The 21,464-nt window shown below is 55.0% G+C and overlaps 1 protein-coding gene across 4 annotated transcripts in view, besides 6 other annotated features; it reads right to left on the reverse strand.

The window, feature by feature from the left end:
- Nucleotides 1-21,464, reverse strand: part of RPH3AL (rabphilin 3A like (without C2 domains)) — a 140,419-nt gene that overhangs the window by 3,217 nt on the left and 115,738 nt on the right. For all 4 annotated transcript variants that reach the window (NM_001190413.2, NM_001190411.2, NM_001190412.2 and 1 more), the window contains 2 exons: nucleotides 4,018-4,131; nucleotides 49-197 (listed from right to left, as the gene is read on the reverse strand). In NM_001190413.2, the coding sequence (NP_001177342.1) occupies nucleotides 49-197; nucleotides 4,018-4,131 (263 nt within the window). The remainder of the gene's footprint in view (nucleotides 1-48; nucleotides 198-4,017; nucleotides 4,132-21,464) is intronic.
- Nucleotides 129-298: an enhancer, noted in NCBI's record as "experimental_47292 CRE fragment used in MPRA reporter constructs". NCBI's record gives its function as "activates a minimal promoter by MPRAs in K562 erythroleukemia cells, with activity observed for the introgressed 17:65610 or rs62057050 variant allele {active_cell/tissue: K562}" and the evidence as "EXISTENCE:reporter gene assay evidence [ECO:0000049][PMID:34662402]".
- Nucleotide 214: a transcriptional cis regulatory region, noted in NCBI's record as "Neanderthal adaptively introgressed variant 17:65610 (GRCh37/hg19 assembly coordinates) or rs62057050 in the experimental_47292 CRE". NCBI's record gives its function as "modulates activity of the experimental_47292 enhancer by MPRAs in K562 erythroleukemia cells {active_cell/tissue: K562}" and the evidence as "EXISTENCE:reporter gene assay evidence [ECO:0000049][PMID:34662402]".
- Nucleotides 3,794-4,294: an enhancer, noted in NCBI's record as "H3K27ac hESC enhancer chr17:69190-69690 (GRCh37/hg19 assembly coordinates)". NCBI's record gives its function as "activates a minimal SCP1, AML or CMV promoter by ChIP-STARR-seq in primed H9 embryonic stem cells {active_cell/tissue: H9 hESC(primed)}" and the evidence as "EXISTENCE:reporter gene assay evidence [ECO:0000049][PMID:30033119]".
- Nucleotides 4,295-4,795: an enhancer, noted in NCBI's record as "H3K27ac hESC enhancer chr17:69691-70191 (GRCh37/hg19 assembly coordinates)". NCBI's record gives its function as "activates a minimal SCP1, AML or CMV promoter by ChIP-STARR-seq in naive and primed H9 embryonic stem cells {active_cell/tissue: H9 hESC(naive and primed)}" and the evidence as "EXISTENCE:reporter gene assay evidence [ECO:0000049][PMID:30033119]".
- Nucleotides 11,741-12,241: an enhancer, noted in NCBI's record as "H3K4me1 hESC enhancer chr17:77137-77637 (GRCh37/hg19 assembly coordinates)". NCBI's record gives its function as "activates a minimal SCP1, AML or CMV promoter by ChIP-STARR-seq in primed H9 embryonic stem cells {active_cell/tissue: H9 hESC(primed)}" and the evidence as "EXISTENCE:reporter gene assay evidence [ECO:0000049][PMID:30033119]".
- Nucleotides 12,368-12,890: an enhancer, noted in NCBI's record as "H3K4me1 hESC enhancer chr17:77764-78286 (GRCh37/hg19 assembly coordinates)". NCBI's record gives its function as "activates a minimal SCP1, AML or CMV promoter by ChIP-STARR-seq in naive H9 embryonic stem cells {active_cell/tissue: H9 hESC(naive)}" and the evidence as "EXISTENCE:reporter gene assay evidence [ECO:0000049][PMID:30033119]".

Consider the following 21,464-nt stretch of genomic DNA (forward strand, 5'->3'; position numbering starts at 1 on the left):
ACGGCCGCGGGGGCAGGAGAGGGGAGAAGGCAGCAGTTGGGTACTCACCGGGGCCCTTCGGGTCAGCCCGGGGCGGGGTCCCCCTGGCGGGTCAGCAGAGCCTGTCCCCGTCTCACCACTGGCCAGGCTGCTCTGGCACCCAGAGAGGTGGCCCGGCGGGTGGGTGAACCCCATCCTGGGGGCCTCCACGCTGCCACCTGTGGGAAATCACGTGTGGGCCCCGTGGATCTCAAACCGAGACGGGGTGATCTCAGTCCAGTTCCTCGTTTGGAACTCTAGATCTCTATGGGATGTCTGCCCCCCACCCCACCCACATGGCTGCCAGGCTCTGGCCTGACCTCACCCACATGGCTGCCGGGCTCTGGCCTGACCCCACCCACATGGCTGCCGGGCTCTGGCCTGACCCCACCCACATGGCTGCCGGGCTCTGGCCTGACCTCACCCACATGGCTGCCGGGCTCTGGCCTGACCCCACCCACATGGCTGCCGGGCTCTGGCCTGACCTCACCCACATGGCTGCCGGGCTCTGGCCTGACCCCACCCACATGGCTGCCGGGCTCTGGCCTGACCTCACCCACATGGCTGCCGGGCTCTGGCCTGACCCCACCCACATGGCTGCCGGGCTCTGGCCTGACCTCACCCACATGGCTGCAGGGCTCTGGCCCGACCCCACCCTCTGGCTGTTGCTGGTGGGTCCAAGAACGGGCCTGCAGGTCTTTTCACTAAGTCACAGATCACCAACATGAAAGTCCACAATTATCACAGAATGGGGGTGGGGGTGGGGGATATATATTTTGGTTAACCTAATGAGAGAGAGATGTTGACTGCTGCCTTAACTCACTAAAGGGTCTTCACTCAAACATGGTTTCTGGTCTTTGCCTGGCCAAGAGAGCAGACGTGGAGCCTGCTACTTTGCTGAACTTCTCTTGTCTCCCAGTCCTGCTTGGTCAGAGCTGAGGGTGGGTGTGGAGCGAGGGGACAAGAGCCCATGGTGGGAGGAGGAGGGGAGTATAAAGCCTGCCCTGGAAACCGAGGCTGGCAGGTAAGTTTCCTTTATACTCTTCTAAATTTTCTCTAGAATCTTCAGCCTGATGGAGCCTGGGAAGTCACTGGTCCAGGGACAGTTTTCATCTCTTGCACCATCTCTACCTGCTGATATTGGCCACTTAGAAAACTGCACTGAGGAGGATTCTGAGGGCACATCAGGGCTCTGTGGAAAGAGTATCATGATCACCTAGTAATGTCTGCCATGGTCACAGGAGAGGGGGGTGGTGGTACGTGTGTCAGGTCTTTGCCAGCTCTGATTTAGCTCAAACTTCCATTCCCAACCCAGTCTTGGTCCCAAGACAGGACCCCCAAGGCATTTCACTCCCATCTGGGGCAGTTATTACAGAGCCCTTCTTCTGCCCTAAAATTGGCCTCGCTGAAATCAGGACCCCCAAGGCATTTCATTCCCATCTGGGGCAGTTATTACAGAGCCCTTCTTCTGCACTAAAATTGGCCTCGCTGAAATCAGGACCCCCAAGGCATTTAGTTCCCATCTGGGGCAGTTATTACAGAGCCCTTCTTCTGCGCTAAAATTGGCCTCACTGAAATCAGGACCCCCAAGGCATTTCGTTCCCATCTGGGGCAGTTATTATGGAGCCCTTTCTTCTTCTGCACTAAAATTGGCCTCGCTGAAATCAGGACCCCCAAGGCATTTCATTCCCATCTGGGGCAGTTATTACAGAGCCCTTCTTCTGCATTAAAATTGGCCTCACTGAAATCAGGACCCCCAAGGCATTTCGTTCCCATCTCGGGCAGTTATTACAGAGCCCTTCTTCTGTGCCAAAATTGGCCTCGCTGAAATCAGGACCCCCAAGGCATTTCATTCCCATCTGGGGCAGTTATTACAGAGCCCTTCTTCTGCGCTAAAATTGGCCTCACTGGAATCAGGACCCCCAAGGCATTTCGTTCCCATCTGGGGCAGTTATTATGGAGCCCTTTCTTCTTCTGCACTAAAATTGGCCTCGCTGAAATCAGGACCCCCAAGGCATTTCATTCCCATGTGGGGCAGTTATTACAGAGCCCTTCTTCTGTGCTAAAATTGGCCTCACTGAAATCAGGACCCCCAAGGCATTTCGTTCCCATCTGGGGCAGTTATTATGGAGCCCTTTCTTCTTCTGCACTAAAATTGGCCTCGCTGAAATGAGGACCCCCAAGGCATTTCATTCCCATCTGGGGCAGTTATTACAGAGCCCTTCTTCTGCGCTAAAATTGGCCTCACTGGAATCAGGACCCCCAAGGCATTTCGTTCCCATCTGGGGCAGTTATTATGGAGCCCTTTCTTCTTCTGCACTAAAATTGGCCTCGCTGAAATCAGGACCCCCAAGGCATTTCATTCCTGTTTGGGGCAGTTATTACAGAGCCCTTCTTCTGCGCTAAAATTGGCCTCACTGGAATCAGGACCCCCAAGGCATTTCGTTCCCATCTGGGGCAGTTATTATGGAGCCCTTTCTTCTTCTGCACTAAAATTGGCCTCGCTGAAATCAGGACCTCCAAGGCATTTCATTCCCATCTGGGGCAGTTATTACAGAGCCCTTCTTCTGCGCTAAAATTGGCCTCACTGAAATCAGGACCCCCAAGGCATTTCGTTCCCATCTGGGGCAGTTATTATGGAGCCCTTTCTTCTTCTGCACTAAAATTGGCCTCGCTGAAATCAGGACCCCCAAGGCATTTCATTCCTGTTTGGGGCAGTTATTACAGAGCCCTTCTTCTGCGCTAAAATTGGCCTCACTGGAATCAGGACCCCCAAGGCATTTCGTTCCCATCTGGGGCAGTTATTATGGAGCCCTTTCTTCTTCTGCACTAAAATTGGCCTCGCTGAAATCAGGACCTCCAAGGCATTTCATTCCTGTTTGGGGCAGTTATTATGGAGCCCTTTCTTCTTCTGTACTAAAATTGGCCTCCCTGAAATTTCTTTCAAGGGTCCCAGTTCCGACCTGTGGAGTGACCGAATGAAGCTGGCCCTTTTCCCAGAAGTCCTTTGTGTGTTTGAAGGACAGGAAAATGTCTTTCCTTTCCTCTCCCAGGCCTTCTCTATACCAGTCTCAATGCCCCCGTTAACCCTCTTTCATACAGCAGTTTCCCAGAGGGTGAGCTCAGGGATCTCCAAGTCAGAAGGCGCTTTGGAGGCCACCCGTTCTGTCTCACTTGCTAACGAGAAGGAAATGCAGGCCCAGAGGTCACAGCAGGTCCTGGGGACCCCATGGTGGTTTCATGGCAGGACTGACCTAGTGCAGGGAGGTCTGCACCTGATTTTCTCAGCTCTCATGATTGAAGAGGCAAACTCTCAGTTGGGGAACGCTCACAGGTGGGCATGGGAGGAGTCCCAGGTATGCAGGCCAAGGGCATGGGTGGCCTGGCTGGCCCTGGCTCCTGTCCTTTGCCTGCCCTCCTCACCCTGCTGTGTGTACAGAAGAGCCTCAAGGAGCCTGTTGTCCCATCCCTAGGCCTGCTTCTCCTTCCAGATGTAGAAGAACTCCTTGGACACCCACTGGGAAGCAGCAAAACCACTCTGTCCCTGGGGCTTTGGAAATAAACAGCACTTTTTTTTTTTTTTTTTTTTTTTTTGAGATGGAGTCTTGATCTGTCGCCAGGCTGGAGTTCAGTGATGCAATCTGGGCTCACATCAACCTCCACCCCCTGGATTCAGGCAATTCTCCTGTCTCAGCCTCCCAAGTAGCTGGGATTACAGGCACCCGCCACCACACCCAGCTAATTTTCATATTTTTAGTAGAGGTGGGGTTTCACCATGTTGGGCAAGATGGTCTCAATCTCCTGACCTCATGATCTGCCCACCCCGGCCTCCTAAAGTGCTGGGATTACAGACATAAGCCACTGTGCCCGGCCTAATAGTTTCATTTCTTTTCTTTTTCTTCCTTTTTTTTTTTTTTTTGAGATGGAGTTTCGCTCCTGTTGCCCAGGCTGGAGTGCACCGTGCCCGGCCAATAAGCAGCATTTCACTCCCCACCTTACCTGACTCCTTCCAGGGTTTGTCGCCTTTCCGGTCCCTGACCCCAGTGGATGGGAGTCTGTCCTCTAGGCTGGAGGAGCTAAGATCCGAGTCACTGTCACTGTCACTGGAAACCACTGGAAGAGACAGACCACAGCACAGGAGGTCACCCGACCAGCCCCTACCTGCAGGCATGGACGGAGGGACGAGGGCAGGCCTCCCCAGCTCATTACCACGTGGCGTAGCAGCTCAGCTGGCCCTTTCGCTTTGGGCAGAAGAAATAATGGCCTGGGGATGGGAGGACACACATTTCTGCTGCACAAAGAGGGGAGTCCTGATGTGAGGAGGCTGGGATCTGGGCTCAGGCTGACCAGCAGAGAAGAGTTCACCTGTTGGCCAGCCACCTCCACATGACAACCCCTGTTCTAGTTCCTCTAGTGGAACCAGAACCCACTGGCCGTGTCGGAGGCTGATTATCACCGTGATGCAGGCACAACAGATCTGAGGCCTCCACTCACTGAGACAATAGACCCAAGAACAACAGCTCTGAGGCCTCCACTCACTGAGACAATAGACCCAAGCACAACAGCTCTGAGGCCTCCACTCACTGAGACAATAGACCCAAAAACAACAGCTCTGAGGCCTCCACTCACTGAGACAATAGACCCAAGAACAACAGCTCTGAGGGCTCCACTCACTGAGACAATAGGCCCAAGCACAACAGCTCTGAGGCCTCCACTCACTGAGACAATAGACCCAAGCACATCAGCTCTGAGTCCTCCACTCACTGAGACAATAGACCCAAGCACAACAGCTCGGAGGCCTCCACTCGGTGAGACAATAGACCCAAGCACAACAGCTCTGAGGCCTCCACTCACTGAGACAATAGACCCAAGCACATCAGCTCTGAGGCCTCCACTCACTGAGACAATAGACCCAAGCACATCAGCTCTGAGGCCTCCACTCACTGAGACAATAGACCCAAGCACAACAGCTCTGAGGCCTCCACTCACTGAGACAATAGACCCAAGCACATCAGCTCTGAGGCCTCCACTCGGTGAGACAATAGACCCAAGCACAACAGCTCTGAGGCCTCCACTCACTGAGACAATAGACCCAAGCACATCAGCTCTGAGGCCTCCACTCACTGAGACAATAGACCCAAGCACATCAGCTCTGAGGCCTCCACTCACTGAGACAATAGACCCAAGCACAACAGCTCTGAGGCCTCCACTCACTGAGACAATAGACCCAAGCACAACAGCTCGGAGACCTCCACTCGGTGAGACAATAGACCCAAGCACAACAGCTCTGAGGCCTCCACTCACTGAGACAATAGACCCAAGCACATCAGCTCTGAGGCCTCCACTCACTGAGACAATAGACCCAAGCACATCAGCTCTGAGGCCTCCACTCACTGAGACAATAGACCCAAGCACAACAGCTCTGAGGCCTCCACTCACTGAGACAATAGACCCAAGCACATCAGCTCTGAGGCCTCCACTTGGTGAGACAATAGACCCAAGCACAACAGCTCTGAGGCCTCCACTCACTGAGACAATAGACCCAAGCACATCAGCTCTGAGGCCTCCACTCACTGAGACAATAGACCCAAGCACATCAGCTCTGAGGCCTCCACTCACTGAGACAATAGACCCAAGCACAACAGCTCTGAGGCCTCCACTCACTGAGACAATAGACCCAAGCACATCAGCTCTGAGGCCTCCACTCGGTGAGACAATAGACCCAAGCACAACAGCTCTGAGGGCTCCACTCACTGAGACAACAGACCCAAGAACAACAGCTCTGAGGCCTCCACTCACTGAGACAATAGACCCAAGCACATCAGCTCTGAGGCCTCCACTCACTGAGACAATAGACCCAAGCACATCAGCTCTGAGGCCTCCACTCACTGAGACAATAGACCCAAGCACAACAGCTCTGAGGCCTCCACTCACTGAGACAATAGACCCAAGCACATCAGCTCTGAGGCCTCCACTCGGTGAGACAATAGACCCAAGCACAACAGCTCTGAGGGCTCCACTCACTGAGACAATAGACCCAAGTGCATCAGCTCTGAGGGCTCCACTCACTGAGACAATAGACCCAAGCACATCAGCTCTGAGGCCTCCACTCACTGAGACAATAGACCCAAGAACAACAGCTCTGAGGCCTCCACTCACTGAGACAATAGACCCAAGCACAACAGCTCTGAGGGCTCCACTCACTGAGACAACAGACCCAAGAACAACAGCTCTGAGGCCTCCACTCACTGAGACAATAGACCCAAGCACATCAGCTCTGAGGCCTCCACTCACTGAGACAGTAGACCCAAGCACATCAGCTCTGAGGCCTCCACTCACTGAGACAGTAGACCCAAGCGCATCAGCTCTGAGGCCTCCACTCACTGAGACAATAGACCCAAGCACAACAGCTCTGAGGCCTCCACTCACTGAGACAATAGGCCCAAGAACAACAGCTCTGAGGCCTCCACTCGCTGAGACAAGGCCCAAGGCAATGCTCTGCAGGGATGTGGGGACAGTCAGAGCTGACCCTTAGGGAGCATTCCAGGCAGTTTCCATGGACACATTCATTGAAGTTTCAGAACAATTCTGTGAGGTAGGAAACAGCATTACCCCCATTTCACAGGCAAGAAAACGGGGGCACGTGCCCAAGTTGTAAGTAGAAGAGCCGGATTCTCATCCTGGCAGGCTGGCTCCGTGGCTCCTGCTCACAACCCTCTGATTTTACTGCAAGAATTGAACTGGAAGCCAGCAGGCCTGGGCTCTCATCCCAGTTCATCCAGTAACGCACAGTGCAGTCTCACAAATGCGGAAGGGAACCAGACGGATGGGGCTGGAATCCCAGCAAGGGGAGGTGAGGATGTTGTCACAGTGAACATGCACTGTGGGAGAAACTCTCTTTTCTGGACTAAATGGAAACCGTATTTGGCTGGGTAATCAACAGTGAGAGTCATAATACAGGATATAGCTACCCTTTAAACATTCTATTTTAATTTTTAACACAGAAATGTACATCCATTCACCAATCTTTTGATGCCAGGCTTGGGTGCTTCTGCAAGATTGGCCCACACAGTCTCTCAGGTATAAACTGCACCCGTATTGCATTGTCTGTGACCCCAGGTGCAGTTTCTCTGAATTGCAGCGGGACCCACAGACCCTGGCCAAGCAGGACAACTGCAGAATCCTCCTTTTTCCATTTCTTCCTCTTGGTTTCCACAGTTGTCCTGCCCACCCCTAATTCCATATATTTTTATAAAGCAAGTTGCCTCCATCAATACTTTCCAGGGCTGGGTGTGGTGGCTCACGCCTGTAATCCCAGCACTTTGGGAGGGCAAGGCGGGTGGATCACTTGAGGTCAGGAGCTCAAGACCAGGCTGGCTAACATAGTGAAACCCCATCTCTACTAAAAATACAAAAGTAAGCTTGGCGTTGTGATGGGCACGTGTACTCCCAGCTACTCGGGAGGCTGAGGCAGGAGAATCACTTGAACCTGGGAGGCGGAGGTTGCAGTGAGCTGAGATTGCGCCACTGCACTCTAGCCTGGGTGACAGAGCAAGACTCTGTCTCAAAAAAGAAAAAAAAAAAAAGACTTTCCAAAGTCTCGGTTTTCATGAAACAATTGTCTCTTTTCTGCCTCTTTCCATCAATTCGCATAACATTTAATTAAGTGATATCATTGCAATACCAAGTACAACAGCACAGGAAGGTCTGGATCAAGGGTAACAGCTCTCATAGGCGAGAAACTCAGCAGATGGGACAGGAGTCATGGGCGCCTGTCAGCGTTTTCCTTGGGGAATGCAAAACACTGGTGGTTACGGAGGAAGGTTAGGGCGGGTTGAGCTCTTATGCCAGGCACTTTGCTGGGCCCTTAGTGAGCATCGTCTTCCAAACAACCCTGAGCCGCTGGTGAGAGGTAAGACTGGAAACAAAATCCGTCTATACTGCGGTGGCTAGCACGTTTCATCTGATCCAGTGAGCCCTTTCTGGAGCAGTGTGTAGGGAAGAATTCAGAGACCGCACTGAAGCTTAGTGGGAGGAAGTGCCTGGTCAGTTATGAAAATCCACCATGGGCACTGGGATGAGGAAACGGTAGCTGCCATGTAGATCCAGAGGCTTCTGGAAAAGCCTTCATGGCTCCAGCCTCTGTCACCTTTCAGCTAAGGGAGCCACAGGTCTTGGAACAAGCAACCAGAGGCTGGAGCTGGCTGCCGTGAAGACCTGGAAGACTCTCAACCCTGTGCACCCGCAGCAGAGCGGCCAGCACACAGTGGGCGTGCCCCCAACAGAGCGGCCAGCACACAGTAGGTTCACCCCCAGCAGAGAGGCCAGCACACAAGGGTGCACCCCCAGCAGAGCGGCCAGCACACAGTAGGTGCTTCATGAAGGTCAGGGGACTCGTGGTCTTGCCTCTTTTCCCCTCATGTCCTGCCAGTTTCACTCAAATGGTTCTTAAATCAGTCACTTCCTCACCATTGTCACTGCCTTAACTCGAGGTGTCAGCTCCTCCAACCTGGACTCCTGTGACAATGCCCCACCAGGGCCCCACCTGCAGGCACTCCACTCTGTGTTCTCTGCACAGCCAGGGGATGCTCCAGCAAAAGCACAGATCCCAGCTTCACCCTCTTTAAAGGTTCCCCATGCCCCCAGGACCACACTGGGCTCCTGCCCTTTGTCTACTTTTCCTCCTGCATCCCACGCCACCTGCTGTCTCACCCTGGGTGCCTCCAGCCTCCTGCGGCTTGTGGCTCCTGCCAGCACCTCCCGCTGGGACTGGCTTGCCCCTGCCCAGAATGCCCTGCCCACCCGTCTTCTCTTGGCACAGAAAACTGTCTTCTCCAGGAAGCCCTCCGTCTCACCTGTGCCCTGGCTGGCTGAATGCCCTGTGCTCTCTGCTACAACTGCACCAACCACTGTCTGCTCTGTTTGCATGTCTGCTTCCCCTAGCAGGTTGTGAGGCTCCTTGAGGGCAGGGACCAAATTGCACATGCAAATGAGGCTGGTGTGGCTCTCCTCTCTGTGGACCTGACCTGTACACTGGAGCAAGAGTGATGAGCATGGACTATTCTCAATAGCAAAGACTTGGAACCAACCCAAATGTCCATCAGTGATAGACTGGATTAAGAAAATGTGGCACATATACACCATGGAGTACTATGCAGCCATAAAAAAGGATGAGTTCATGTCCTTTGTAGGGACATGGATGAAGCTGGAAACCATCATTCTCAGCAAACTATCGCAAAGACAAAAAACCAAACAGTGCATGTTCTCACTCATAGGTGGGAATTGAACAATGAGAACACTTGGACACAGGGTGGGGAACATCACACACCGGGGCCTGTCATGGGGTTGGGGGAGGGGGGAGGGATAGCGTTAGGAGATATACCTAATGTAAATGACGAGTTAATGGGTGCAGCACACCAACACGGCACATGTATACAGATGTAACAAACCTGCACGTTATGCACATGTACCCTAGAACTTAAAATATAATGGAAAAAAAAAAAAAAAGAGTGATGAGCATGGGATCAGGCCTGGCCTCTCCTTCCTCCATCTGCTCAGAGGCTCTGCCTTTTTCTGTCCTGCTCCCCAGGAAGAGTTCTACTCCGGCTCCTTGGACTTTTATGATGCCGCAGCAAGAGGAGATGGGGATGGGGCATGGCTGTGGTCCGTGTGCCCTCTTCGTAGTACTTGAGAAATGCAAGGAAAACCTGCCTTATTTTGCAGTTGTTTTTCGGGTCCTGGACTGAGCTGCTTTGATCATGAATCCACCAAGACTGGACCTCATGGGTGTCAGTTTTATAAGCATTTCTGTAGTTTTGACTCACTGATGAGATGCCAACCTCATGGGTCCCATGAAAAAGGGATAGGAGGAGGTGGGAAGGAGCCAGGGATTCCTGCTGGGCTCCTGGAGCAAGTTGTTCCCATGTTGCCCTTGGGGCAGCTACAGTGAAATTAGAGGCCTGTGGCTCACACTTCCCGGGAGCAGGGAGGTGTCCAGCAGGAGGACAGTCCTGCGGAGGGTGGGGTGGCTCGTCTGCACACCGGTTTCCGCCTCTCTCTGGCAGAGATGCTTATGGGAGGTCTAGTCATGCTTCCTGACTTGGAATGTCCCATCTCCCCCACAGCTAATATGGAAAATCTACACAGTCTGGGGCTGGCGGTGGGCACGGGGCTCCGTGGTGTCACACAGTACCAGGCTCCTTTGGTGCAAAGGGGCAGATGTCAAAGGACTCAGAAGGAGACGATGGGATGGGATGTCCCAGGACTGGGGTTAGGGAGGTGAGCTCACCCTCCATCTCCCCACTCTTCCTTGTTCTGTCATCTATCACACATGGTCACAGAGTTGGGCTGGGAGCAGGCGAAAACGGCAAGACAACCGTGAACCATGCCGTGCCATGTCGTGAGGACGGCGTTTGTTATGAGTCGTGCATTTTATCCAAAACAGCAACCCTGGAGGTGGAGTTAGGGTCAGGGTGCCACCTGGCCTAGTCCCCATTTGGTGCCCGTGTGCACAAGGATTCACAAAAAACAGGTAGAAATCCTCCCTGAGTTACAGTCACCTTGTTCTTCATCTCCATTTATAGACCCCAAAGGGCCACAGCCGTGAAGAAGTGGGGAAGAGCCTCAGATGCCAACTGAGCTCACACAGGTGACACAGCAGGCGCCAGGAAGCCGATGAGACAGACTCATCTCATTAGATGCATCCTCCCTGGCTTGTTCTTCATCTCCGTTTATAGACCCCAAAGGGCCACAGCCGTGAAGAAGCAGGGAAGAGCCTCTCCGTGACTGGACCCTCTCTGCTCACTGTGTTGGGATTTCAAGCTGGGGCTTAGAGGTCTTTGTGGTACAGACCCAAATCCCATTTCTAATCCACTCTAATAAACACCACTCGAAAGAAATAAACCAAAGGAAGTCAGCAGTGCCCGCACCAGCCTTGGCATTTACTGGCAGGGCGGAAGGGCCACACCGAGCAAACCCTGCTGAGAAGCCCTGGGCCCAACACAAACACGGTGTCCCCAAATGTTCCTGGCTTCCTCGGGCTGCAAAGGAAGAAGCCTTTTCTTCTTCCTCCCTCCATTGAAATGTCACCGTAAAACTCAAACTTCGGCTAATTTGCCATTCGATTGCTGTTGCCACCTTTCTCCCTGCATAGCAGCTGTGATTGTCAGTCTTCCAGGTCTATTCACAAAGATTTCAGACTCATACATCTGGCCCTTGCTCTTCCATCCTCAACATAACACTCTGTGTGTCTGAAGGCTGATACATTTTTTTTCTCTCTAATTCTCCAAAGGCTGAGTCTGGGATGGCTCACCGACGAGCCCTGTATTCTGCCCACGCCTGGTTTTTCAGATGGAAGATGCGAGTACACCAGGGAGAAGGCTGTCCCAACAGCCTTTCGGAGGAAGAAGTATCATGGAGTCACCCGGGTGCCGCCGAGAGGCAGGGGTGGGGGAGAAGCTCCCCTCCTGGGCCCCTCCACAGGGGCCTGAGCCACTTGCTGGGGACCTGGCATCCCTGAGGCTTCCCCACTGCAGCCCAGAAGGGCTGCCTGCTTGCCGGGTGCTCATCCTCAGCAGTGGCCAGCCCCAGCGCCAGCCGTGCCCACTTCTCTGGGGAGAGGCCAGCTTTTCTTTCCCCCTGCTCACTCTTGGCTGGGTTTGCAATTTGACTGTCACCATGGAAACGCAGGGTTTTGGTACACGGAGCGGGGGGAAGAGTCTTTCCTTCTGGAAACGCTTTCTTGACTGCCTCAAAGGACATGGGCGGCAGCTGTCCTGTGGAGAGGCCTGGCCTGGGATGGTCCAGGGGACAGGCGTCATGCTGGCCGTGTGGCCTCACAGCACTGCGCTGGGGATGTGGGGGCCCTGCTTCCAGGCTCTGCTCAGCCACCACCTGTCTCTGTGGCCCCAGGCATCTCTCCAGGCTTCACTACAAAAACACAGGGGCTGACCCAGGCACCCACTCTGGGTCTGAATCCTGGGATTTAACCTTGGGTCAGCCCATGGGTGGAGACAGCCCTGGTGCCTCTCCCTGGTCGGGGTGGGGAGATGCTCCCACTGGGCCACAGAGCATTGCCGCCCGGCACAAGGACAGCCAGCAGCCTGAGTTTGGGAGGCACTTGTGAGCTACGGCCACTCTGCTTGGAGGCTCCCAAAGCCCCCAGAAATTATGGGAATTATAGAGGAAGAGAGATATTTTCAGCAAACATTCTGCCAAGGCAAAGCAGATGGTGGAAAATTTTGCATACTAAAAACAAAAAAAAAATTCTCTAATGTAAAGGAATGATGATAAGGCCCCTGGGAGTGTAGACACTCCCAATTAGCCGTCTCCAGCCCACCAGGCAGGCACAGCTGCAGAGACGCAGGACTGTCTGTCCCTGCTGGGACAGGGGACGGCTGCTCCACCTGCACACAGGGTAGGGTCCTTGGCCTGAAGTCCCACTGAGATGTCTCCCAAGGCTGGGGCTCCATCTTGGTGGCAGCTGGAGGGGAGCCTGGGGTGGGGGAGTCACCGGCTCTGAGACTTGGGTTGGTGTCCTGCCTCTGCCACCTCCCAGTGGTATAACTTTAGGCCAGTTTCCTATTTTTTATTTTTAGTTTTTGTAAAGACATCATCTCCCTATTTGCCAGGGCTGGTCTGTAACTCCTGGGCTCAAACAATCCTCCCGCCTCGGTCTCCCAAAGTGCTGAGATTACAGGCGTGAGTGCCCGGCCCTGGAGCAGTCCTTTACCTCTCTGTGTGCTCAGGGGCTCGCCTGCGGAGAGGGGGATGGGGACTCTCACCCCGGGTTGTCGTGAGGGTCAAAAGGAGTAACGCGTTCGGCATCTGGCCTGTGGTAGGTGCTTGATAGGCAAGAGCTGTTACATTTCAGAGGCAGCTGGAACTCACGGGCCCACACCATGCAGCACAGGCTGGCCCTGGGGTGCCCAGGCCAACCTCGCAGGTGGACTCACCCCTTTCGAGGAAGCGTGGATTCCCAAGCTGGGCTTTGTAGGACACCCAGGACACAGGATGCCTTCAGAAGTCATTCAGAGGCAGAGCTGGGATTTGAACCCAGGCCTTTCTATTGCCAGACACCCCGCTTTTCCACCTCACCAAGCACGCAGGATGCCCCAGGGTCCTGCCTGACCCTAACGGCTCTATCCCCTCAGAAATCCTCCTCTCCAGGCGGCCAGTCCCCTCTCGGTCTCCCCACCATGCTCTTCTGTGCCCTCTCTGGACCCTTTTTCTGTCGCAGCAGAGGCTGCAGTGTGGGAGAGAGCTCTAGTTCACTCTCAGCAGCTAGGGTTGAGCTCTGGTCCTGCCTTGGATGCTCTTGGGCAAATACCTTAATCTTTTTCAACCTCAGTCTTCCCATCTGTAAAATGGAGACAAAAATAACTACTAAGCAGGACAAACAGCTTTGCAAATTTAAAAGGCTATACAAGCCTATACATATTTTTAAAAAATTAGAATCTAATCCACCCCCTCCAGGAACCCATTCAAATCATTTCTCCACTGAAAAGTCTCAATCCTCACGGGCAAAATGCCAATGGAAAGAAGCAGGGAAGACGCAACCTCCCTCCTCTCCCCACCCAGATGCTGTCTGGCTTGCATTTCAGCTCCTACCAATGCCTGCCTCAACTTCCTCAACATATTCAGGCACCACTCGAGGGCAAGGCCATACCTAAAGGCAAGTGTCCCTTCCCTCAGCCCCACTGCTGGGTTTTGGGCAAAGCGGTTACTCAGGAAATACTTGCTGACTGTTTTCCTGAAAATGCTCCCCAGGACAGGAAACCGCACTGTACAAAGACAGCAGGGCCAGCTGGGGTCAGCAAGGGGTGGGCCACAGAGGGAAAGGAGACCCCAGACCCCATCTGTCACCTCCATGTCCCCCAAAGAGCTGGGGTTTCCCCCAGGACAAGCGCTGGGCAAGCAGCCCTTCTGAGCCACGACGGAGGGACCTCAGGGATGCCAGGCCCCTCTCCCAGCCTCCCCTGAAGGGACACTCAGGGGGATGCTTGGTGGCCTCAGCCTGGCAAAAAACAGCTGAATGGGGAGGGGCTGTAGGAGGCTGCTTCCATGGCCATGGATGAGTGGGTCCTGGGGGAGAGTGCCCGGTTCACACAGCCTGCTCTTCCAAACCCACCTCCGGGCCAGGGTGCAGGGTTGGGGGAAACACGCTCTTCCTTTGGTTTGGAAACTCCCTGCAGGTTGTGGGTCTGGAAAGGGAGAAAGGGGGCTCTGAGGCCCAGAGGGCCTGTCCGCTTAGGGAGGGGTCCACTGGCAGCCAGAAGCAGCTCAGAGCCTGCCCCTCCCTCCCTCCCTCAGGGACCCTGGAGCCAGGAGATATGGGGTGTGCTTCTGGCCCTTTGCTGGCTACCACCTGACCACCCCTGACAGCCACAGGACTACCTCAGAGGGCTGGAGAGGACATGGTACCTGGGGAGCGCTGCTTCCTTGGTCCCCCTTCCAGGCTGCCATGGAAAGGCCCCCGAGGACAGCCCCAGGCACGGGAGCTGATGGGCACAGACAGGGCTGGGAATCCAGGTCTGGGGAGTGGAGGAGGGCGTCCTGCACTTGCTTATTCATTTACCATCGATTTTCATTTACTCCCTCCTTCAGGCCCAGAGACAGACAGGAGGCACCAGATAACGAAGACAAATCCTCAAATCGATAGAGATGTGGTCACCAGCATCGAAATCTCACAGTCCCTGCACTCGCTTGAGGAGCTCCAGATAGAATGAAAGGTGGATGGACGGAAGAAGAGATCGGCTCCCTCCAGAGAGAACGCGAAGTGCGGGGGACCATTCAGGGAGAGAGGGGCACTCAGTAAGGGCTTCCTGGACGAGCTGGAATTTAAGGATGGGCATAATTTAGACACAAAAGCTGAGGCTGGGGTGTGCCAGGCATCCTGGACAGAGAACAGGAAAAGCAAAGGCCAGGCAGTGGACTCCTCTGGGGCCAGGACCATCCTGCTGGCTCAGGAGAAAGGCCCCAGGCTCAGGCATACAGGGGACATGGCCTGGTCTGGGTTGGGTGTGGTCTGCACTGTCAGGGACAGATGATGGCTTTTGGTTTATGAAAGAATGAAACACGGCAAGCCTATGCCCCCTGCCCACGACTTCACTGGGGTGCAGGACGTGCTTTCGGGTGCATCCTGACTCCAGCCTTTCTCTCCGTGTGTCTCTGGGGCCTTCACTGTTCTTCCACCTCATCTCTTTGTGCCTCCCTTGTTTTTTGTTGTTGTTGTTGTTGTTTTTCATAGAGACAGGGTCTCGCTATGTTGTCCAGGTTGGTCTCGAACTCCTGGGCTCCAGGGATCCACCCGCCTTGGCCTCCCGAAGTGCTGGGATCACAGGCGTGAGCCATGGCACCTGGCCTCTTGCTGATGTTTCCAAACTCTCCCTCTGCCTCTGAATTTCTTATCTTCATTTCCCTCCGTATCTGTGTCTTTGTGTGTTCAGAGCCTTCTAGAGTGTTTCTTGGTTCCTCCTTCTGTCTATGCCAGCTCCTCTCACTCTCCAGGATCTGCCTCTCTGCATCTCTGGGCCTCCATCTCTGTCTCTCCCTCCCCAGGTCTCTCTGTCACATATCCTCAGGGCACTGCTTTCTTGGCCTCTGGGTTTGTGCCTCAGGTTCCCCCACTTGGGCTGGAATCTCACTCCCTCAGGCCCATGGGGTCTGTGGTCAGAGCTTAGGTTTGGGGTGGGCTGCCTGCTTTGCCTGGAACTCCTGTCTAGCCCAGGAGCAACCAAGGTAGGGAGGCCTGCCTGCCCCTTCCTGTGTGCAGGCCAGGGCCCTGCTGCCCACTTCTGGACCACCAGCGGGAAATCAGCTGAGCCCCACGTGCAAGGCCAGGCCTCACCTGTGACGGACAGTTGGCCCTGGGAGAGAGCTGAGAGCTGACAGGAGCCAGGGCGGTTATCTCCCAGGCCTTTGCTGGAATCAGATGGGGCAGAGAGGCCCAGATTTATTCACTTCACTTAGTCCCCGAGACAGGTGAGCGGCTGGAGATGGACGTGCTTCACTGCACGAGGCAGAGGCTAGCATGGGCCAGGCACACACGGGAGCTCTGCACACCAAAAGCAAGCCAGAGGCTGGCCCTTGGGGGCTGGGCCCCACTCTCCCAGTTCAGCTAAGACAGGGGCAAGGGGCCCGCAGATGTCACCTTGCAGCTGGAATTGACCAATCAGCCAAGGTTGTCATTGGGTCTCGGGCAAATTAGAGGCGACAGCCATGCTCCTGACCTCCGTGGTGTGGCTGATGAGGGCCTTCTGCTCTTGGAAATCCACCTCTAAGCCAGCGAGGAGGCCCACGACAGGCAGGTGGGCTGCTGGGGGAAGAGGTCGGGTGTGGCAGGAAAGCAACAGCGGCTCATTTGTGCTCAGGACATCTGTTCTGGGGGCGGCCCCTCCATTCATGCCCCTCATCACTGAGCTTGTGTCTGGCTTAACCAAGAGCTCCAAAGGTCAAAACAAATTCGTGTGTGTGAGCTTCCGTTTCAAAACACCCGCCAAGCAAGACGTGGCCGGGCCTCTACTCCCCTGAGATTTAGGGAAAGGGCAGTTTCCTGACTGCTGCAGGTGTTTCTCTGCCTTTCCATGCTGAGACTACGGTGCAAATTATTTGACCTCTCCATGACTTAGTTTCCTATTCTGTAAAATGGGACAACAGTAGCGGCCCCGTCACAGGTTGTTGGGGGATGACACGAAATAACGGAGACGCACAGCGCCCAGGACAGCCTGCAATGAGCACCCGTGTCATCTATGGCAGCTACAGCTGTTGCTGTTTTTATCGGACTCCTCAGCACCAAGGGCCAAAGCCCATCCCTTTTACCTGCACAGACAGACAGGCAAATGGTACCCAGGCCTCGGCTGACCCTGGCAGAATGGCAGCTGCCTGAGAAGACCAAGGCCGACTATCAGTGTCTCTCCCAGCGGGACCCACGGTGGCCTCGGGCAGTGCAGCGTCACCCCCCTCCCCTCGCCCTGTCTCAGCTGGGAGGGATGACATTCATTCCCCAAGTGTCTGGCTGGACCAGAGCCACAGACACAACTGTCTATGACATTGTTTGATTGTTTATTTTCTTGACCCAAACAGCAGACCTGCACCAGGGAGATCTGAGTCAGTGGCTTCCAAGGTGCCACACAGGGCCTGTGGTGCCGTTCTCAGGTGGTTCAAAGACAACTCCCCCCTTCCTTGTCTCTAAACAGTCCTTTCCGGCGTGTGTGTGTGTGTGTGTGTGTGTGTGTGTGTGTGTGTGTGTGTGTGTGTGTGTGTGTTGGCTTCTATTAGCTTTACATTTCAAAAATCCCAGGTACTTCCAGCTCCCTGGGACTACAGAATCCATGCAGGGAGGAAAATGAACAGAGATGGGGAAGGTGATAATTAAGCATAAGAGGCCTTCCTGGGGCTAGGACTTGGGAAGGAAGCTTCAGTCAGTTCATGGCACTTAGTGAGCGCTTATCAAAGCATAGTGGGGATGCTGGGTGGGTCTGACGGGATTTCGTTTGACAGCATGTGCCTGTCTGTGTGGCACGTGTGCGTGTGTGTGCAGAGGGTGGGGCCAACATGGAAATGGGGCTGGGCTTTCCAGTAGAGCCTGATCTGAGAGCTGCCTTACCAGCCACTGCTCTACCCCCCGCCTGAAATTCCTCTGTAAGTTTCATTCCCTTGGATTTAGACCTGTAAGACACGACCGCTGGGAGAGAACAGACTCTGTCCCAGCCCCTCATCCATTCTACTCATGGGGAAACCAACACCTAGAGAGGAAAAATGACTTCCAACGCCAAGACTGTCCGGCCCAGGAGTCCCCCAGGAAAACACCAGCCCTGTGGGGGCTGGGCCTGTAAGCCCTGCTGATGAGGTCACGTTGGGCCACCTCCATGATCATGGCAGCCACTAGGGGCAGGGTCAAGGGGTCAGGGTTAGGAGTACAGTCACACAGACGTGACCTGGTCATGCCCCTGCCTCCCACTGGCCAGGTGCAAAGGTCAGGGAGTGAAGTGAGCTGGACATGAGGGCCCTTCCCTTCTGAGAGAAGCATGCCCATTTTTCTTGCAACAGGCACCCCTATTGGTCTGTCTTCTTTCTTTTCACAGGGATGTGAAACAAGAACGGTTTCACTTTCTTCTTAAAAACACTGCAACGGTGATGCTGAAAGGGTGTCAGAGACAACAGGGCCGGGTGGGGACTGCAGCGAACCACAGAATGCAACCGGGGAGCGGCTACTTCCCCTGACCAACTTCCCTGAGCAGGGAGCGGCTACTTCCCCTGACCAACTTTCCCCCAAGCGGGGAGCGGCTACTTACCCTGACCAACTTCCCTGAGCAGGGAGCGGCTACTTACCCTGACCAACTTCCCCGAGCAGGGAGCGGCTACTTACCCTGACCAACTTCCCCGAGCAGGGAGCGGCTACTTACCCTGACCAACTTCCCCGAGCAGGGAGCGGCTACTTACCCTGACCAACTTCCCCGAGCAGGGAGCGGCTACTTACCCTGACCAACTTCCCTGAGCAGGGAGCGGCTACTTACCCTGACCAACTTCCCTGAGCAGGGAGCGGCTACTTACCCTGACCAACTTCCCTGAGCAGGGAGCGGCTACTTACCCTGACCAACTTCCCTGAGCAGGGAGCGGCTACTTACCCTGACCAACTTCCCTGAGCAGGGAGCGGCTACTTACCCTGACCAACTTTCCCCCAAGCGGGGAGCGGCTACTTACCCTGACCAACTTCCCCGAGCAGGGAGCGGCTACTTACCCTGACCAACTTCCCCGAGCAGGGAGCGGCTACTTACCCTGACCAACTTCCCTGAGCAGGGAGGTATCGGAAGCCCTTCTGACTTCCACAAAGGAAGCCAGAGCTCCAGTTTTTTTAAAAATGAGAGTTCTCCACATTTAAACTAGTTGACAATGAATTTTAAGCAGTAGGCCAGATTGAATCACTGCTCCACCAGTCTGTGACCCAAAACACAGGCAAATGTGTGGTCCCAGAGGACAGACGGCACCCACCTCCTGACAGGGAGGCTTCCTACTCCATTCCGCCTCCTTCTGCAAGCTCCAGCCCCCCCGGCCCCGGTGTGTACAACACACACTCCCAGCTGCTCTGAAGGCTGTGGAGAATTCACGTACCGCGGCTGGTATATGTGACAGAAATGGCAAATCCAGAGTCTGCTAGCAAAATACGGGGGTGGGGAGTGGGCTGGGGGTGAGGAGAAGGAGGCTGAGCTTCCAAAATGCAAATCTCTCAGGGACAGAGAGAGAAGGAAGGCGGCATAGCAGCAGCTGGCTCTGGGCGGTCAGCAATCCTATCTGAAAATAAAACATTTTACAATCCACAACTGCACCTCATTAAGAATGAATGGATCGGCTGGTATAAATAGCATGCCACGTGAAGAAGTCAGGAAACAGCATATGCGTTTGACGGAAAAACGGCAGCCACAGGGCTGCTTATTAGCTCGGTGGGCGGAGGCTCTTCACTCACTAACAAGACGGGTCCCGGGTTCAAAGCTGGGGTCGGCCGAGGCTCTGCACTAACAAGACGGGTGCAGGGTTCAAAGCTGGGGTCAGCTGAGGCTCTGCAGTAACAAGAGGGATCCCGGGTTCAAAGCTGGGGTCGGCGGAGGCTCCGCACTAACAAGACGGGTCCAGGGTCCAAAGCTGGGGTCGGCCGAGGCTCTACACTAACAAGACGGGTCCCGGGTTCAAAGCTGGGGTCGGCCGAGGCTCTGCACTAACAAGACGGATCCAGGGTTCAAAGCTGGGGTCGGCCGAGGCTCTACACTAACAAGACAGGTCCCGGGTTCAAAGCTGGGGTCGGCCGAGGCTCTGCAGTAACAAGAGGGATGCAGGGTTCAAAGCTGGGGTCGGCCGAGGCTCTGCACTAACAAGACGGATCCAGGGTTCAAAGCTGGGGTCGGCGGAGGCTCCACACTAACAAGACGGGTCCCGGGTTCAAAGCTGGGGTCGGTGGAGGCTCCACACTAACAAGACGGATCCCGGGTTCAAAGCTGGGGTCGGCGGAGGCTCCACACTAACAAGATGGATCCAGGGTTCAAAGCTGGGGTCAGCGGAGGCTCTACACTAACAAGACAGGTCCCGGGTTCAAAGCTGGGGTCAGCGGAGGTTCCACACTAACAAGACGGATCCAGGGTTCAAAGCTGGGGTCGGCGGAGGCTCCGCACTAACAAGATGGATCCTGGGTTCAAAGCTGGGGTCGGCCGAGGCTCTACACTAACAAGACAGGTCCCGGGTTCAAAGCTGGGGTCGGCCGAGGCTCTGCAGTAACAAGAGGGATACAGGGTTCAAAGCTGGGGTCGGCCGAGGCTCCGCACTAACAAGACAGATCCAGGGTTCAAAGCTGGGGTCGGCCAAGGCTCTACACTAACAAGACGGGTCCATGGGTCAAAGCTGGGGTCGGCGGTGGCTCCGTACTAACAAGACGGGGGTCCCAGGTTCAAAGCTGGGGTCGGCCACATGGCTTCCCTGATCTTGGAGCACAGAAGGCCTCACACTGTGCCAGCCCTGCTCCCAACCTGGGCTTAACTCTGGACACACAGTGCCAGCCCACAGTGAGCTTCTCACAGCTCCTGACCCACAGGACCCCCACTCTAATGTCCTACCTCTGGGCTTGAATGCTGCCATTGACAGGGAGCTCACTCCTCCGTCAGATGCAAAACACTCAGTTCTGTGGCTGGATGGCTATTGATCGAGGAAACCTAAATGTCCCCTGCTGTGGCTATTGATCAAGGAAACCTAAATGTCCCCTGCCCTGCCTCAGCTCTGCTCTGGGTCTGGGAGAAGTGGCCTTAGCTGGCCACGCCATCCGTTATGTTTGACTATCGGACACTGGCCACGCCATCCGTTATGTTTGACTATCGGACACAGAACAGAAATAATTGGGCCAATCACTTTTTCTCCCAAGTATGGACGTGAGGTCCTGAGAGCGGGGTGGGGGTGGGGCAGATGGTTGGCTTGGAGGGCTGGCAAGCTGCAGAGCGGGCGTCGGGAGCACAGAGCTGGCACAAGTAGAAGCAGCTCAGCCGCCCTGTCTGTCTCCTCGCGGCCTCGCCAGCCTTCGTCTCCCGCCCTGATTCTGGGAGAACCTTCCTCAGTGGTCTGGCAGCAACCTCTACCTCGTGCCAGCCTTGGTGGTCCCTGATCCTCACAACCAAAAATCCCCAACAGTCGGAAAAGAAAAAGCCAGTGAGCGTCGAGAACTGAGCGACAGCCTGACGCTGCACGGCTTCCGCCACGGGCGGGGCATGCGCTGGGTTTTGGAAGCCGGGATCCTGGGCCCTCTTGGGCACAGCCTGGCCGCCTACAGGACCCTGGTCAGCCTTCCCCTCCTCATCCATCATCGACAGTCCATTCCACCGTCTGTAGCTGCCCTGGAGGCTGCTCTGAGCATCAGCTGGGTTAGCGGCCATGAGTCACAGAGCGCTGGGGCTAGTACAGCTCGGAGGGAC

The sequence above is a fragment of the Homo sapiens genome, chromosome 17, assembly GCF_000001405.40.
Source record: "Homo sapiens chromosome 17, GRCh38.p14 Primary Assembly".
Lineage (NCBI taxonomy): Eukaryota > Metazoa > Chordata > Mammalia > Primates > Hominidae > Homo > Homo sapiens.